Raw genomic sequence first — 18,692 nt, 5'->3', positions numbered from 1 at the left:
ATCTCCTTACAGATAAGGTCCGCATTTATCAGCTCCCCCTCCTGTATTGTCTGTCTACCCAGTCAACTTTCATTTACATTATAGAACATTTCTGCAGTGATGTACTCTTTACTCCTTGATTTGTAAATGTATGTAGGAATCTTGTGTCTAAGTAGACAGGAGGAGAAAAATTTGTGGTGGAAGTAATCACTCTCTCTAAAATAAGAATTTTTGATATGTTGATACGGTAAAAGGAGAAAAACTTACCTAGACTATATTTAAAGTCAAACTAGTGGTGTTTAATAATATGTGCTTACTGATATGTTTTATCTTTTAATGACAAACTAGTTGATGTCTTTTATGAAAGCAACCTAAGCAAAGAATTTCTATGTGGGTATAATATAGTAATAAGAAACATTTTGCATTATTCTACAAAGAAATAAAATGATAATGCTGAAATTGAAATACTGTTCTAGTTACAAGAGTAGATAATGCTAATAGCTTTTATCAAAGCAGTTCAATTTATGGTGTTTGTTTTTTCTTTGTTTTTTAAATGTCTTTGAAAAGATTAAAAATTTATTTCTCAATTTCAGCACATAAACTGAAAATCTTGTCATTTAGAATTTCATACAGTAGATATTTTAGATGACTCATTTTAATTGTTTCTAAGTCATTTGTTTTTATAGGTAAGTAACCATGTTAGCTAAGAAAAAGGAAAAACAGCATTAAAACATCAACCCATTTCCTATTTTAGTTGATCTGGTACCATTACTGATTTATTTTCTTTCTTTTCTCAGTTGCTGAGTAAAATGCCCGTGTGCTACTGCCTATTGTATGTTTTGAATGGAGCTGTAATTTATATTCTATTTTAAAAAGGCTTTAGGAAACATGTTTCATTCCTTTAAATGTATGCCGAAGTTTTAGGGGGAATAGCACACCAAAATCTTTTATTAAATGAGGAACAAAATGAACCAATTTAATATAATTTTAGGTATTGTTCTGATCCATAAAAAGTGAAAAAAAGTTTTTGTTCCTCATAAATGGGAAAATAATGTCTATGTTAACCTGGCCAAACAGATGTAACCAAAATAATCAGTAGAGTCTAATTCTCTCTTTTTAGTCTAGACTGACACCACTAATAGTACTCTTATGCCATTTGGGGACTTGCAAGCAGACATTTCATAAATGTTTGTTGAATTTATGAATGAATAGATATATGAGTAAAATTATATTCATGCAAATAATAGCATGCTGATCACATTAGTCTGGGTAAAATCTTGGAGTCTATTATTATCAAATTTTGCTCATTAAAACTTAAAAGAGTGCAGGTGAACTTGAACAACATTATCATCATTATTTCAGATTAAATGAAAATTCATAGACAAATTATAATTTTCAGGATAAGTTTTTCTTAAATTATTATTTCCTAAAATGTCACTTGTAGTTGTGCACATTATTTTGAGAAGAGTTAGCTAATTATTAGAAATGACTTCCATTTAATAAATTAGTGATCAGGTGTGGGAGGTTGAAGAACTTTATGCCCTTTTTTAATGCTCAGAATATACTGAGTATGGTATGGTAACTCTTGCAACAAGTATGAAAGTAGAAATGTCATAGTGAGTTTTCCCACTATTGTTGCCAGGTAATATGTTTCCGTATTGTGATAGTGTTGAGTAAGGGTTAGAATCCTAGAGATTCATATGGCCTCTTTTCTCCTTCATAGAGCACTGATTTCATAGTATTTTAATAATTGTCTATCTGTCCCAATGGAATGAAAATGTCTTTATGGTAGAGGCCTTATTCTGTTTTGTACTCTTATGCCCTCAGTTTTAATCACAGTGACTGTCTCTGAGCAATCCTTCAGATATTTGGAGAACGAATAAATGTCCCATAGCAATAAGAGAAAAAGTAATAAACGTTCAAGTGGTAAGCCATGCATCGATAAAATGTGTGATAAACAAAGATAAATATATGTTCCATTTTTCTCCCCACAGTCTCCAAACGTCCACAACTATCCCGATATGGAAGCCGTTCCCCTGTTGCTAAATAATGTGAAAGGGGAGCCCCCGGAGGACTCGTTATCTGTAGATCACTTCCAAACACAAACTGAGCCAGTGGACTTGTCAATAAACAAAGCCAGGACGTCCCCTACTGCCGTTTCATCCTCCCCAGTTTCCATGACAGCATCTGCCTCCTCACCTTCTTCAACTTCAACCTCTTCATCGTCTTCTAGTCGTCTAGCCTCATCCCCAACTGTTATCACATCAGTATCTTCAGCGTCATCTTCGTCAACAGTATTAACTCCAGGGCCCCTTGTGGCCTCTGCATCTGGTGTTGGAGGCCAGCAGTTTTTGCACATTATCCATCCCGTACCGCCTTCAAGTCCCATGAATTTACAGTCTAACAAACTGAGTCATGTTCACCGCATCCCCGTGGTGGTACAGTCGGTGCCTGTTGTCTACACAGCTGTAAGGTCACCTGGAAATGTGAACAACACTATTGTCGTGCCGCTTTTGGAGGATGGGAGAGGCCATGGCAAAGGTAAGAGACATAAACAAGCCTTGATTTATTTCAGCACTAGAGGTGACTTCATTTTTGCAGTGAACAAAACCTAAATTGTATACAAACACTACATCTAAAGAAGTTCTGTGTAGAGCAACGTGGAGACACCAGCTGTTCAGCCTTAAGTAGAACACAGTTTAGAGGGAACTCACCCTATGTTTATGTAGGTATATGCTCCAGTTTTGCTTAGTGTATTTTTACTTACCATAGGTCACGTAATGTTAGAATTCAGATATCTAAGTTTGCAAAATAATACTTGCTTTGAAATGCTCTTAAGTCCTCAGTTGGAAAGGGCAATCTATGGTGAACATAATTGCTTATGAAGTATAAATTACTGATTATGAATTGTAAATTTTTTTAAGTAAATCCGGATGTTTCTTTGTTGAGTTGTTCAGTTGGAATTTATTTAGGTGATAATAATATACAATGTTGTGAAGTTGCAGTGCCTGGAATCTAATCATTCACTTTTGAGTAACCTATAAATTAAGTTGCCATTAAAATAATTCTAGAATTAGGTGTTTGACTATAGTAGTATCATGTAGCTTGTGTTACTAACTTCTTATAAGGCTAAGTTATTATTTTAAGGGACAGGATGACTCAATATACTGGAAATATTTCAAGATGCAATATTAATATTCCCTTTTAGGGTAGAAGGCAGGAAGATAACTTTGCTACATGACTATGTGTAATCATCACTAGTTATTTCATTAAATTTGATAGTTATGCAGCTGGTCATGAAGTTATTTTCTTCTTCTAAGTTCTTTTTTTTCCCTGAATTTTACTAGAAGAAATTGCGGTGGCATCATGCTGTCTTTTCTCTTTCTTCACTACCCATGAATCTAAAAACCAAGCCACCCCTCAATAGAAATGCAGAATGCCCATAATCATTGACTTATTCCCTTTTAAAGTAAATAATATGTATGTACTTTGCCTTCAGAGCCTAGAAATAATGATGGATTAAGATTTATGTTGTATTACTTTTTGCTTTGACACTATATTACTACTGAGGCCTGTAATTAAAATATGATCGATGAGTACATAAAACACTGCCTTCTCATAAAATGCTAGTAAATATGGTTGTTTTGGTTCTTGTATGAGGTGGGAATAAATACATTTGATTGATTGTGAACTTACAGAAATTTTTGCAGGTATGAATTACAAAATTGTGCATTCACCATTAGCAAGGTATTGTTTTATCTGCAGTGAGTTTCTTTATCACACGTGAAATAAGTTTCACCTTCCTAGTTTAATCAAACTAAAATCTGATGATTCAGAGCATACAGGCTTTTTAGACTGCAAACTTGAGATGCAGACACTCGTTGCTTACTTGATAATCTCTTTCCTTTGTTCTCTAATGGTCCAGGAGCTAGTCCCACTATTCTCTAGTGAAAACGTAGAGGAAGAAGAGGAATTAGGGAAACTTTTCATGGATTTTACCTGAGCCAAACCCTCTTTGATATTGCTGACACTTCTGATTGAACTGAACAAATCAGATTTGAATAATAACAACATAACTGCAGGCCAAATCAGATATTTATTTTCTTTTACAATTTAGAAATGATATTGCAAATGTTTTAAGAATTCGAAATTAACAAGTAGCAAAACATGCAAAGTTGCATATTATCTTATATATGTGTACATGTGTACATGATAGAACCTAATCTTTGTAAAATAAGATAAAAATTATTTTATTATAAAGTTAATTAATAAAGATATTAATGTTGCTCATGATCTTTCATACCATTTTGATTCACTAATGAAAGAAACAAAAGTGATTTTTTTTGTTTGCCATGATCATTTTGTGAGAGAGATTTTTATTTTGAAAGTATATATAAAGTAATATTGCTAAAATTTAATTTTCTGGAAAATGAATTATTGTAGTAGAACTTTTAAGACTCATGCTATAATTTGGTCTCTACATGAATATATTTGTTTCATGCATTATTTTTTACTCAGTAGTTTTCTCATATCAAGAATAAAAATTTAAGTATAAACCCTGCAGATTGTGCTATGGTCATTAGGAATATGAGATTTGGGATCAAGGATGTATGAATTAGAACCCTAGCTCTGTCACTTATACCTATGTAAATGGGAAAGTTATTTAATCTCACTAATCTTCATTTTTATTAGTGATAAAATAGGGATAATAACATGATCTAGCCTAGAAGATTATTGGGAAGATTAGGAACATAATGTATAGGCCAGGTGTGATGACTCATGCCTGTAATCCCAGCCCTTTGGGAGGCCGATGTGGGCAGATCACGAGATCAGGAGTTCGAGACCAGCCTGGCCAACATTTTGAAACCCGATCTCTACTAAAGATACAAAAAATTAGCCAGGGGTGGTGGCGCACGCCTGTAATCCCAGCTACTGAGGAGGCTGAGGCAGGAGAATCATCGCTTAAACCCGGGAGGTGGAGGTTGCAGTGAGCCAAGATTGAGCCATTGCACTTCAGCCTGGGCAACAGGGTGAGACTCTTATCTAAAAAAAAAAAAAGAACATAATGTATACATGTCTAGCATCCATCAATTATCAATAAATGATTGAAATTACTTATTATCTCTCCCAAAAAATACCAAAATCAATAATATTCAAAAACCTTTTCTCTTTTTTATAAAAACAAGTATGGAGGAACAAAAACTTGTTGAATTTTAAACAGAAAAACTACCTCAAGACATTGGTATGGAACTGCTTCTCAAAGTTTTTACAATAACAAATTATAAGGGATGAGAGTTTAGTATGAGAAATTATTTGAGGACATCCCATATTTTCTATTTTTATTAGTTTATACTAAGTTTTTATAATCACCATATTCTACAAATGTTGCTATAGCATTTTATACTTTTTTATTGCTTAACTGATTAATTAGGTAATAGTAAAACTGTCTAGTGGAAGAAGCCTGCCTACCTCACAGAATGAATAAAGGAAAGGGCATTTCAGTAATTCCTCAGTTCTTTGTTTAGCATATATGCAGCTGGGCGGTGAGCCAGTAGTGAAGGCTGAGAGAATAAAGGGAGCCCCCATTTCCCTTCCTACTTCGGATGTGTATTTCTGGTATGCATGAGCAAAGGAAAATACGATAGGGAAGTTGGATTTTCAAAATGCTAATAATAAAAATACAAAGTGTAATGCATAAATGTAGATGATTGTACTGGCTACTTTTAAAGTTGGTATAACGTATCTGGTCTCTGATAGAGAAATAGGTTACCCTACATGTCACATTACGTGAAGGACTGTGAATGCGCATATCCGTCTAAGCTCACATGTCCTGTCAGTTGAACCATTTGTCCTTTCAGCTGTCTATTGTGCATCTATCATTATCAGGCATTTTATTGACACCAAAGATACAGTGTTGGGCAAAGCAGATGTTGTTTCTGTCTCATAGTGCTTACAGTCTAATGAGAGCTACTGACTTTCCACGAAATAATCATAGAAACAAATAACTGATAATTGTGGACAGAGTTGGACTAAAATAGACCAGCCAGGGAGTTGCCCAGTGGAATGAGTTTAATTATAATCGCAAATAGAGAAAGCTGTATTTGACCAAAGTATTTTCATGTAGGATGTCATGTTCTAGGAAGACATGTATTTACTGTGATGCTCATGGAGTGGTGAGGGTTTGGGAAGGGGTGGGGTGAAACTTCTGCAAGGGATGCTTGACTAAGGACAGAATGGCATGCAAAGATTTTTTTAAAACTCCTTCCTGAGAAGTGTGAAAATGCCTTCTAGTGAGGCTAGAACCTCAGCCTTTCCAAGTGTGCAAAGAATAGTGATCTAAAGCAATGGCAGGTTGTCAGCTAGCACAGAACACCCCGACATCTCTACTGGGCCTTGGATATAATATGTGATATGAAGAAAAATGGAATGATGTCCTAGAAGGTATAGTAAACAAACATAATTTAGAATTGAGCTATGAGAGGGAGGATGTCAGGAAACGTCTCCCAAGGAAGACATTTTTCCACTTGATACCTAAGGACAAGTAGCAGTTAGCCCCCCCACAGTGGTGGTACTGGGAGGTGCGGGGTTCCCACATAGAGAGGAGAGTTTTGTTATTACGTTGGTGCAAAAGTAATTGCGGTTTTTGTCAACGGAATGGCATAAACTGCATTTACTCTTGCACCAGCCTATACTGTGCAATCTAAGACATGATATTTATAAACCGAACCCTAAAGGAATTATTTGACCTCACAAAGGAATTTAAGTCCTTTTTGGGTAAGTTTGTGGCACATTTCCTGGGAGACACTCATTAGCTTTCACCAATATTTAATAGAAGGAAAGCATTGAGCAAGCTTGCCCAACCCGCAGCTGTGGGCTGTATGCAACCCGGGACTGCTTTGAATAAGGCCCAACACAAATTTGTAAACTTTCTTAAAACATTATGAGACTTTTTTTGCAATTTTTTAAAACTCATCAGCTATCCTTAGTGTTAGTGTATTTTATGTGTGGCCCAAGTTAATTTTTCTTCTTCCGTTGTGGCCCAGGGAAGCCAAAAGACTGGACACCCCTGGCATAGAGGGTCAAGACAGATCTCAGGCAAAGTTATTCTTGGTTCATTATTGCCTTGATGGAAGAGCAGGCGCGTTTAGGATTCTCCTTCCTTCCGATATGCAGTGTGCATTTACCTTATACCAACCACATTTCTAGGAATTGGTGTCCCAAAATGAGCAAGTCCCTACTGTCAGGGACCTTACATTCTAGTAGCAGTGACAGTTCATGTGTATCAGATGCTACAAGTGCTATGAAGACAAATAAGGCATGATAAGGGAGTTGGAAAGTTAATGGGAGAGGGGCACAGCTTTAGGTATAATCAAGGAAGGCCTCTCTGAGAAGTAAGCTGTGTCAGTAATAGCTGTGGAAGACCTTTGCAAAAAGAGAGAGCTGCAGGTTCAAAGACTCTGAGGCATGAGTGAGTATGGCCTTTGTGAGGAGGAGCTGCTAGGAGGCTGGTGGAACTAGAGAGGCTTAAGTAGGGGGAGGGAAGGGGAGGGTAAATGAAGGATCTGGTAGGTTCTCAAGGCAATGCTGTACAGTCTTTGGTTTTGTTTTAAATATGTTGGGAAGCCACTGGGTTCAGAATGAACAGGAGGGTGACATGATCCGTTTTACCTTTTACAAAAATCGTTGAACCACTGCATGCTGTAAAGAATATGGGGAAGGAGCAGAACTAGGAAGAACTAGTAAAGGGGACTATTGCAGTATGGGTCGGATGGTGGGATATGAGGGAAGGAGAGGAAGTGAGGGTGACTTCTAGGTTTTTGGCTGACCTATTGTTCTCTACTAAGATGAGCACAGTGGGGTTGAGAGAGGAATTCCCTTTGGGACGTGTTAAATTTGATATGCCTGTTCCACATTTTAATAGAGCTTGAGATGGGAGTTGGGTGGGCGAGCCTGGAACTCAGAGGAAAGAGGAGACAGATTTGGAGAAATAAAATTTGGGTACCACTAGGGATCATCTCAGGAGAGCCAAATGGAGAAGGAGAAGCATGGACGACTGGACACCTGAGCATTGTGAGGTTAGAAAGTGAAGAGGGATGCAAGAGTCAGCATGGAAACTCATCTGTTCATGAGGAAAGTGGAGTAATGTTAAAGAGAATGCAGGTGGAGCGTGTTTTCAAGAGCAGCTTGTCAATGGTATCAAATGCTGCTCAGGGACCAAATAAAATGAGGACCGAGAATTGTGCATTTGGCGAGGGAGTGTTCATCGTTGACACTGACCTGCAGTGTGTCAGTGGAATGGTGGGGACAAAAGACTGCCTGAAGTAAGTTGGTGTTCAGATGAGAGGTGAGGAAGAGGAGACTGAAAGTCTCGATAGTTCTTTGGAGTAGTTTTGCTTTAAAGAGTTGTAGAGAAATGGAATGAGAGCTGGAGAGGCATTAGGTTCTCAAGGGAGGGGTTTTAAAAGAAGGAGATAGTATAGCAAGTTTATATGCCATCAGGAATAATCCTACATCATTATCTTCTGTTTTTTGTAGTTCCTTTCATTTTCCATTATGTATCTTTTTCCTAACAATTTTGTCAACATAATAAATAGACTTTAGAATTCAGATTAATTACTGCAAGATGCAGGTGTGTTCACAGTACAATATAAGCAATAACGTGCAATTAAGGACTTTGCTTCTATAATTCTTCCTGTTTAGGATTGTCCATTTTCAACTCTTTACTGGATTATTAGCAAACAAGTAAAAATAAAAGTAAAATTTGAGTTCCATTGATAATTATAAAAATGATACCAGAAATTATAAGATCAACATTTTTTCTTCATTGTTTAGTGGAATGTGCAGGATAACTGAAAATAAACCATGAGTCCCAAATTATTACTTTGTCCTTTAAAGGCATTTTTTTACATTTAAACATTAATAGGTATTACATTTTAGAAATTCAAGATACATAGAAGGTAATGTCAGACAGGTGTGGTGGCTCATGCCCGTATTCCCAGCACTTTGGGAGGCCAATGAAGGCAGATTGCTTGAGCTCAGGAGCTCGAGATGAGCCTGGGAAACATGGTGAAACCTTGTCTCTACCAAAAATACAAAAAAAAAAAAAAAATAACCAGGTATGGTGGTAAGCACCTGTGGTCCCAGGTACTTAGGAGCCTGAGATGGGAGGATCACTTGAGCCCAGGAGATAGAGGTTGCAGTGAGCTGAGATCACACCACTGCACTCCAGCCTGGGTGACAGAGCCAAATCCCATCTTAAAAAAAAAAAAAAAAAGTTAATGTCATAGCCAAATAAAGATCTGGGGAGAAAAAAACAAAAGGACGCATCTCCTCTCTTCTATACCTGAGCCAGTAACCTTGATGGTAACCTTGATGCCTGGGAGTGAGACTTGAGCAAGGATGTGATTGATCAGTGGCTTTCAAACCATCAGGGCCTGCAGAAGCCTGGTGCAGCCAGGTGGGTATTTTACTTTGCCCAATTTTCTTTCCTAACCACTATCCTTTTGTTCTTTATTAACTTATGTAGATGCTCTGCTATTTCTCCCCTTTTGCTACATTTCTGTCTTTTCCTTAGCCACACAAAAGCAATCAAATGTCCAGATGACGGTAATAAAATAGATTGCTTGAAGAAAAAGAGCCCAGCTCTGGTTTCCTACCATCCCACATTTTCTTTCATGCAAATTTAACACCAGCAGCGCAGAGTCTATCAGCATTTAGCAAAACATATTTATTACATTAAGACTTTTATTGAAATGGTGTCATACTTGAAAAAATAACTTATTATAGGTCCAAATGCATTATTTCTTATTAAAATAATCATGTGTTTAGATCCTTGAGTATGAAGTACTTTTCCCAAAATACCTGAGTAGAACATGTTGATACTGCTGTTAAGAAACTAATCCAATTTGGGTGTGCAATTTCTTTGGTCTTCTTCTTTTAAAGAATGTTGCTTTCTTACTATATTTAGACACAGACACACGGTGAAGAATCCTCCAAAAATATGTTATTTTCATAGCATCCATTCAGGAGTTTCAAAGGGATGTGGCTGTAGACTAATTTGAAATACACCCCATTTTCTTCCTACAGGCTGTTGCTTTTCTCAGCAGCCTATAGAAAGAAGCCACAAGTGTATTTTTAGTCTCATGCTGGTTATATTTGTGAAAGAAAATACAGTCATCACAGAGATTGCTGCAAAACTCATTGCGCATTGTGACCTAGGTTCTGTCCCGTTGATGCAACTGGAGTTTATTCCCATGGAACTTCCCATTTCAGATCTCTTTGTTTCACTAATTTTCTTCTGTCGCCAGCGTTCTCACTTGTTGGTGTCTTTGTTTCAGGTCATGAATCCTTCCTGTACTCAGTTGCTAGAGATTTCGTTCATGTCACAGACTCGCTTCTGTCTACCTTACATGTGACTGTCCTCTTTTGTTCACCATTTGGTGGAATCCTGGCGTCACCCATCCATATGACAGAATAGTCCTAGATAGCTGACCTGTGATTATGTGTGAAGTTATCTTTGCTTCCCTTGATGAATTGATTCTGTTTACTCTTAAGTATGGTGACTACTAGCCATAGGTTAATTCTTCAATTTAGAATTTGATTTTTATCGACAAACTAGCAAGTTACTTATGGTCTTTACTTTTTTAATGTTGTTTATTGGGAAATGGGACTGGAATATTGCTGTTATTTGGTTTATGTTTATTAAATATAGGCTTTGATAAGACTTGAGTGTTTCACTCTTATGGCAAAACAAAGATAGGAGCTTGTTAAATAGTGAGAGAAAGGCAGGCAGCCCATGTTTATGAAATATTGAATTTTCACTGTGAGTTCAGAACCCTTTTTTTTCCTACAGATACATTGGTGATTTGTGGTTTATTTTTACCTGATTTTCAACATGGTAGAAACTTATCTGCATTTTTTCACTTCTGGGCATGCACAAGAGGTTGAATAGATTCCATCAAAAAATTGGCTTCTTACGCTCTTGTTTATCTGAAATGCCTACAATCTGTCGATTTCGCTGCTTCATCTGGCATAGACTAGGATAGTTCTAAGATTCGATGATAATAACTGGCGCAGGGAGGAGACAGAAGCTGTCTGTATTGTTCTAAGAGAGCTAGCAGAAAGGAGAAAACTCTAAGCTCCTCATAGACTGTAAAATGCCCAGAAATGAGTTTAATTAGCTCCTCCCACCTCCCTGCATTAAATAGTAAATAAAAGTTTAAAGGAGAAAAGAGGAGGAAGAGGAGAAGGTATGGATACCCAGGACGGATCATTTTAAAAGGTAGATGTTACTTAAGGAAGTGAAGATAAACAGGACAGTCAAATCCATTTGTTAGGTAAAGCAGCTAAAGCAAGAAGATGTTTAAAAAATGGGCTTTGTTTTCATTTCATTGTAAGGTGATATTAGGTACTACCGAATAAGGTAACCTGGCACACTATTTTATTTATTAGGTCAAGTTTCTCCTATAATAAAAAGACCTAGTTTGTGTTTAAAGAAATACTTCTATGATTAAATTACATTTTACTGGTAAAGTATTCTAATGTAATCTACATATTTACTTTTTCACCAAACCTGAAAAGTTTTCTCTGATAATATTTAGTACATTGAATGTTACATATTGGATTTTGATGTGTAATATCTTTTATTTCCCTTGTGAATAGTTCTATTTAAAAAAAACTAATTTTTTCTATCCTGGAATTATGTTCTTATTAAATATGCTTCTGATTTCATATAGTACAAGTGCTGTTATGCTACAAGGGAATTCTTATTCTACATAGTAGATTGCAAGTATTTGTAGAATTATTTTGGCATCTATACTCACTGTAAGAAATACATACATATGTGAAAACATATTTAGTAAGTAAACACCTTTTCATTAGTAGGAACAAATGAAAGAAGGAAGAATATGAGATTCAAGAGGGAAACTTAGTCTTAGAATCATTACCAGCACGGTTTTAAATTGGCTTTTTAATAATTTACAACTCTGTGGCTGTGGTTTCTGTTCCCTGTTTTTTTCTTACTCCCTTAATAATTCTTTTTCTGTTCCAGACTATGTTACTATTTTCTCAGCTCTTTCACTCTGCCTGTTTTCCTTTGTTAATGGGGAAATTTGATTAACTGGGTATTCTGCTTTGTATTCTTTAGAAAACAACTAATTGATATTTGTCTTTCTATCCAATAAATAAAAAAGAGCTACCAATTTACTGGGTGATAATCACATACTCAATTCTTTCTCCAGCCACCTTTATGTAGGGGAAATGCTACTTTGATCATTGGCCAATTGTATGTGTTTTTCAAGACCAAGCAGCTTCACCTTTTTTTTTTTCTTTTAATAATTAGTTCATTTATTCAACAAATGTTTTATGGGCAATTTACAAAGCCAGGAATATCTCCCAGTCCTAGCTGTGGCACTTAAAAGAGAAATTCTTTTTAAAAGCCAGCTCTAGTTTACAGTAGACTAAAATGATTATCACACTGGGGGTCATTTCTGGTTGGATATCAGTTTAGTAGCTCACAATGAGTGATTTTAAAGAAATGAAATAGAATGGAGTAGGTTGAAAAGTATCTGAGAGTGTCACCCAAATAAATATTATTCCATGAAACTTTTGTTCATTAACTTGTTTACATATATGCAAATGTGGTACTGCGGGCAGGGGGTGTGTATATATACTAGTCATGCTGAAATACGTATTTCTTACTGTGGTTCCTGTCCAAAAAGTTTCAGAGAGACCCCACTGCATCTCTCCTTGCTTTCACTCAGCCCCTTCCCTTTTCCTTGCCCTTTCTGCACCTCCCTTTCAAAGTAACCCCCTCAGTTCTAACACCTTTTTTCTCTCACCTTCCCTCCATTTTTCTGTCTTCTTCCTTTTCTCAGTTGTTTTTCTCTGTCTCCCTCCACTCCTCACCATTCTACCTTTTTCTGAGTCTTGATTTTTCTCTTTCATATCAACCAAATCACCTTTTCCAGAAGTCATGTAATATGGAACCATGAGACCTGTAATGAAAAGGACAGTCTTTTTATTGCCATCTAGTGGCAGAATTTTAAAATGACATGAACTGAAAGACACGAGAACTCTAGGTAATCTAGTTATTTTTTCTACCATGCCCCTAATTATTTTTTCTTCCATGCCCCCGGATTTTCCCAGCTAGTTTAGTGTTGCAAGACAGTGTGGTGAATATGACCCTTTTAAGTAAAACTCAAACCTGAATTCGAGACCTAAGTTATCTACTTTGTTTTTAGACTTCGAGAGTATGAAAATTTTTTAGGACTATATTTGATTTGGGCCAAAAAAAAAAAAAAGGTTTAACTTCTACCCGCTTATCCCACTTCCCATCCTATACATTTGCATGTGACTCTATTCAGTGGAAATAAAAATGCTGCATTCTGTGTATCTGTGCTTAGTGTTTTTTAAAACTATGGATTAGGTTTGTTGGCTAAATGGAAGCGTATATATGGCAACTTGTGTGCTACTAGGAAGTTTTGCTGAGAGGTGAACCCACTGAGCAAGGATACCAGTGCCCTAGAATGTCAGAGAGAGAAAATAAAATTAAAATGGACCAGGCACAGTGGCTCACGCCTGTAATTTCAGCACTTTGGGAGGCTGTGGCGGGTGGATCACTTGAGGTCAGAAGTTCGAGACCAGCCTAGCCAACATGGCGAAACCTCGTCTCTACGAAGAATACAAAAATTAGCCGGGCATGGTGGCATACGCCTTGTAATCCCAGCTACTTGGGAGGCTGAGGCACAGGAATTGGCTGAACCTGAAAGGCAAAGGTTGCAGTGAGCCGAGATCATACCACTGCACCCTGGCGTAGGAAACAGAATGAGACTCTGTCTCATAAAAGTAAAATAAAATAAGATAAAATGAAAATAAATGCAATGGACAGTTATGTCTTGGGACAGAAAGAGTTCAGGAAAACAGAATGTAGGAAAACTTAGTAAAACTGAGAGAACTAGGAATAGCCCTTGGAGAATTCATCAGATAAACTGCCTTTTCAAATACTAGGGTCTTAGGAGTTCAGTAGGAGCATGGTAGAATTAGAAGAAGGGTAATTCTTTGCTAGGTATATGGGTTTCTCAGTTCTTTGGGGAGAGAAAGATATAGCAGGACTTGGGTAACGTATAGTAAGAATAAGCTCCTCTGCTGAGAACTGTGGTGCTTATATAATGTGGTTTATATTGTTATAAATGCTCATTTCTAAAATAAAGAGGTTGTGGTGGGGGGAGGAGGTGTTCTCCCCGAATTCTACACTACAATTTAAGCTCCATGAAAGTACCATTTAAGCCTCATTAGCTAATATTTCCCCAACATCGTGTTTGACACTAGTAAATGCTCAATAAATATTTACTGAAGAGATGGATGAAGAAATGAATGCATTAATGTGGGAAACACTGCAGGAACAGTGTTTTGTGTGAGATGCTTAGGAATGCTGTGTGGCCAGTGTAGACGTGCAGTCTGAACCCTGACAGTAGAATAAACCTTCCCATGGTGAAATAGGAGGCTGCCAAAACATAACATGTAACCAGCAAGCCTCCGCACGTCCTCACATCTACCTCACATACTACCCCTCCCTCTCAGTCTGTTGCCATTCCACCAAATACATCTCACGTCCCAGCCATGTTGCGTGGCCCTTCAGGTGACATTCTACCTTTATCCATGTAGAAAGCAAAGGGAAGCCTTTTCTTTCTCTGACAAAAGATCTGGCTCAAATGCCTTCTTTTCTGAAACAGTACATACCAAATTGTAAGGCAATTCATATACCACCACCACCCCCACAAACACACACACATCATCTTTTCTCATTGCCTTACTGCCTTATCCAACATCTGGCACACAATAAACACTCTTAAGTGCAGAATGAGTGAATACCATCCCCCAAGCTGTTGCTGTGGTATGTCAATCTGTAGTCGCCTGGTGTTCTTGAATACATTGTTTCTGCTGTTTCCCTAGTTGTTTTATTTTGTAGCACTTAATATTAGAGAATAATGTTTGGTGGTACCTTATAGATACTTGATGTGATTTAGGTTTTAGTAGTTTCTGGAGATGAACTCCTGTGGGTAAGAAATATTCTTTGGGCTTCCAAACAGTCTTAATACGTAGATATTGCTGTATGAAAATTGTAGTCAGTTCTTATTTATTCTTTTACTCTCAGGTAAAATATTTTACCTGTGAAACTAGGATAACTAATAGCTTTGATTGGATCCAGGCAATTAATAGAATCTGCTAAGTTTCTTATATAATAGTAACGCCAATTTCATTTCCCACTCAGGGCGAAACAAATTATGCCTCCTACCCCACTGCAGTTAACTGCATCAGCATCATGATGCCATAAAATCTGAAAACTGTGGAGTATGAGTAATCCCACTATAAATTGTAATAAAAATTACCTCTCCAGACTCTATATTCTCTCCATTAAGTTCATAGGCAGTGTCTCTTTGTACATAAAGTTTTATGAAATAAATCGACCATTTTTCCTGTCCTTAGCAGATAGCAAGCTGTTTTGATTTAAAAGCTGATAATGGTACAATCAGTTTTTGGTGTTTGTAGAGCATTTTAAAAGCATAAATTTCCTTTAACAAACCTTAAGTAGAAGGGAAATGCTACTTTGCTACTTTTATTTGTACCACAGAGTTAAATATCTCTCTGTGAGAAAGAATAAATGATGTATTTAGCATGGTGGGCCCATTTGTTGCATCCATAAAACAAAGATTTGGTTTTCCTCCTCAGTTCTCTGATCTTAAAAACGTATTAAGTAAACCGCAGCACGAATCTAAAATAGCTTTGTCTGAATTGTTTCCAGTGTTCTGTGTTTAGAAGGCATTTTCAATTTCTTGATTGCTTTTTTGTCTCTTCTGTGCTAAATCCAAGGGCTCCCCCTAATCATCTCCGGTGTGGCCTTTGTCAGACGTGAATGCTGTGAATCAGTCCTCTGTAAACACAGAGACCTTTTAAACAGAGGAAACCTTCTAGAGGCCTAGGTTGTAAATCTCCAGAGAACATGAACTAGACTCTGGAGGAAGTCTTACATTATAAGAAGGGGAGAGTAGGTGGCATTTGAGGCGAAAGTTGGAGAAGCGTAAAGCTTTGGTACTCAAAGTAGGTAGGAGTGTTTCAGACCAGGAAAAGAGTAAATAATGAGAGTAGAGAATGGAGGGCACACAAAGAATGAGGAATACTGTGCTTGTACTGGAAAGTAGCCCATGAGGTCACCTCCCACACAGACACTGCATATGATACAAAATATGTTGTCTACATTACATGTACTCTATGTTACTTATAGGAAAGGACTCAAGATCCTCCGTCTTTCAAAGCATTTTAACTCTTGGCTTGGATATATTTGTTATGTTCTTTGTGAATATAATTTTCTAACCACGTAAGTAGAGAATAGCAAATAAAAATGCAAAGAAAAATAAGTGATAGGAATATTTCTCAATCGTTATTTTTATAACTTGGGTTCCCCAAAATGTCTTCTCAGTAGATTTTTATGGATGCCCAATAGTCACAAAATTTTGTAGCACTTCTCTTTCTGTAGATTTTGTTACTGAAAGAAAATAGATCTACTGATTTTGCTTTACCAGTTTATAGATGCTGAATACCTCCTGAGATTCTCATCTGCCAATTCCCTTCCCAAATTAGGAAACTCCCTTTATCTGTAGGGGCACTGAGGGTAAAAAAGTGGCAGCCAGCAAAGAAAACGTCAAAATTATTATTAAAACAAGAACTTGAATAATTGCAGCAAGGTCTTTCTGGATGGGAGCAAACAGGCTAACACGGCGCTTTAGTCCTTGGAGAGAATACTTTATTACAGCGTAATAATTGCTTTTGAAATAATGACCATTAGTAATGAAAGAAAGGTTAAATTATCATCAGTCCATTTGAAAAAGGTAGCAAAGTATGTAATAAATCTTGTAAATATATTTATTAAAAATCATTTAAATAATATTAAATAACCTTTATAGAGTGCTTATATGTTCTTTCTGCTTTACATATGTTATCTTTAAGCCTGACAATAACCAACATGTAGATATTATTGTCAGTGTTTTGCAATGAGAAAACTAAGACTCATATCACTTTCTGTACCACTTATAAGGGCACAGCTTAAGAGTGGTAGAGCCTTGAATTAAGTCAGAATTTCTAAATACTCCATAGCCATTTTGCTGTACTTAGGCTTGATGCTTTAAAAAGTATGCCTTAATTATCTAGAGAATGTGTCAGTTTTAAATATCCAATTCCATAATTCCTCAAATTAGGTGGCATTATGTTTTTAAATCATTCAGTTTTTTGACAAGGATTAAAATTTATTATATATGAAATCTATTCTGTATGTAAAATAAGTATGCGTGTGTGTGTGTGTGTGTGTGTGTGTGTGTGTGTATGAATTGCGTGAGGTAATTCCATGTTGCTAAATATTGATATTATAGTACTGTATCATGTATTTTCATTTCTTTAGCATCCTGCAGCCTGAAAAACAACAGCCTTAAGCTGTAGGTTAACATTTCTAGGTGCAGGGAAATTTAGTCAAAGTGTGGTTCACTGCGTTTCAGAGATCGACATCCATGTCATTTTTAGACATATCTGGCCCCTGCCTAGAGCTCTTTTGAGCAGGGAATTGGTTAGAAAGACATATACAACACAGACACGCCTGTTCTATCTTGCCTCGTTGTGGTAGTAGTAATTTTCTGGAAGACACAAGGGGAAACTACAAAAATAAAGACACGGCCAACATTTATTATTACTGTTATAATTATATTTATTTTTCTTAGATTAATGAGTTCAATAAAATTCTGAGCACTAGCCAATAGCTAATAATCATTATAACATTACAGTTTTAGAATTATCCAAGCTTATATAGCAGATGTTCAGAAATGCCTTCTTCAAAATTGGAAAATGAATTCAATAAAGTGTGTGTTTGGTTATGGAGAATAGCTTCATAGTAAAATCTGGCATTTTCCAGTTTTTGTTTCAGTGTCTTTTCAGAGCCATATAGTATCTTTTCTGTTTTTGTAGTTCTCTATTATTTATTAAGTTTATCAAAGAGTGAAAGATCTTGCCTGCTGTCCAAAATGTGTTGGTATCATGATATGTCATAGGAAGTATTTTCTGTCACGTTCTGGAAGTTATGGTTATAGTAGATCATTACCCATTTATCATCTAACAAATGAGTGCTCACTGGTGATGCACTGCTTAGTGGCATTATTGTGCCCATTGGTATAATCTACAGTAATCAAGATAGTATAACCTCCAATTATGTGTTTTATTATCTCATTATCCACCTTGCAACTAATGCAACTATTAACAAGCACATTTCTTGCCTGTCTTGGCCAATTGTGATTACTTTAATAGTCACCATGATAAGTCCTTCATACTTAAACCTCCTTTCAATCATAATTTACACTAGTTTTAACTATATAATTTTGTGTGATCTGATATAAACAGAGGATTACAGTTTTGTCCATTTACAAGTCTAAATAAGCCACTGAATGGTTTATAACTATTTTTCAGTATTGTGTTCTATATTTATAATTATGAAGAACGTTGAGAATGCAATCATCCTTAATAGCAAGAGTAAGCCACCACAGACTTTTTTAGCATTATTTATTCATTCCATACCTTATTCCAGAAAAGATACTGGGGAGCTCAGCCATATTATTACTATTCAGTCAGTTGTTATTGTTCAGGCAGTCAGAATTTGCAGAGGCCTTGCATATTTG

General features: G+C 36.4%; 1 protein-coding gene across 20 annotated transcripts in view; it reads left to right on the top strand.

Annotated features, from left to right (window-relative positions):
- KLF12 (KLF transcription factor 12) overlaps positions 1–18,692 on the top strand; it is a 619,957-nt gene that overhangs the window by 457,699 nt on the left and 143,566 nt on the right. For all 20 annotated transcript variants that reach the window (NM_001400153.1, NM_001400139.1, XM_011534909.3 and 17 more), the window contains one exon: positions 1,974–2,520. In NM_001400153.1, the coding sequence (NP_001387082.1) occupies positions 1,974–2,520 (547 nt within the window). The remainder of the gene's footprint in view (positions 1–1,973; positions 2,521–18,692) is intronic.

The sequence above is a fragment of the Homo sapiens genome, chromosome 13 (assembly GCF_000001405.40).
Source record: "Homo sapiens chromosome 13, GRCh38.p14 Primary Assembly".
Lineage (NCBI taxonomy): Eukaryota > Metazoa > Chordata > Mammalia > Primates > Hominidae > Homo > Homo sapiens.
Note: the sequence above shows the minus strand (reverse complement) of the source record. Positions and strands in the feature narration are given on the sequence as shown.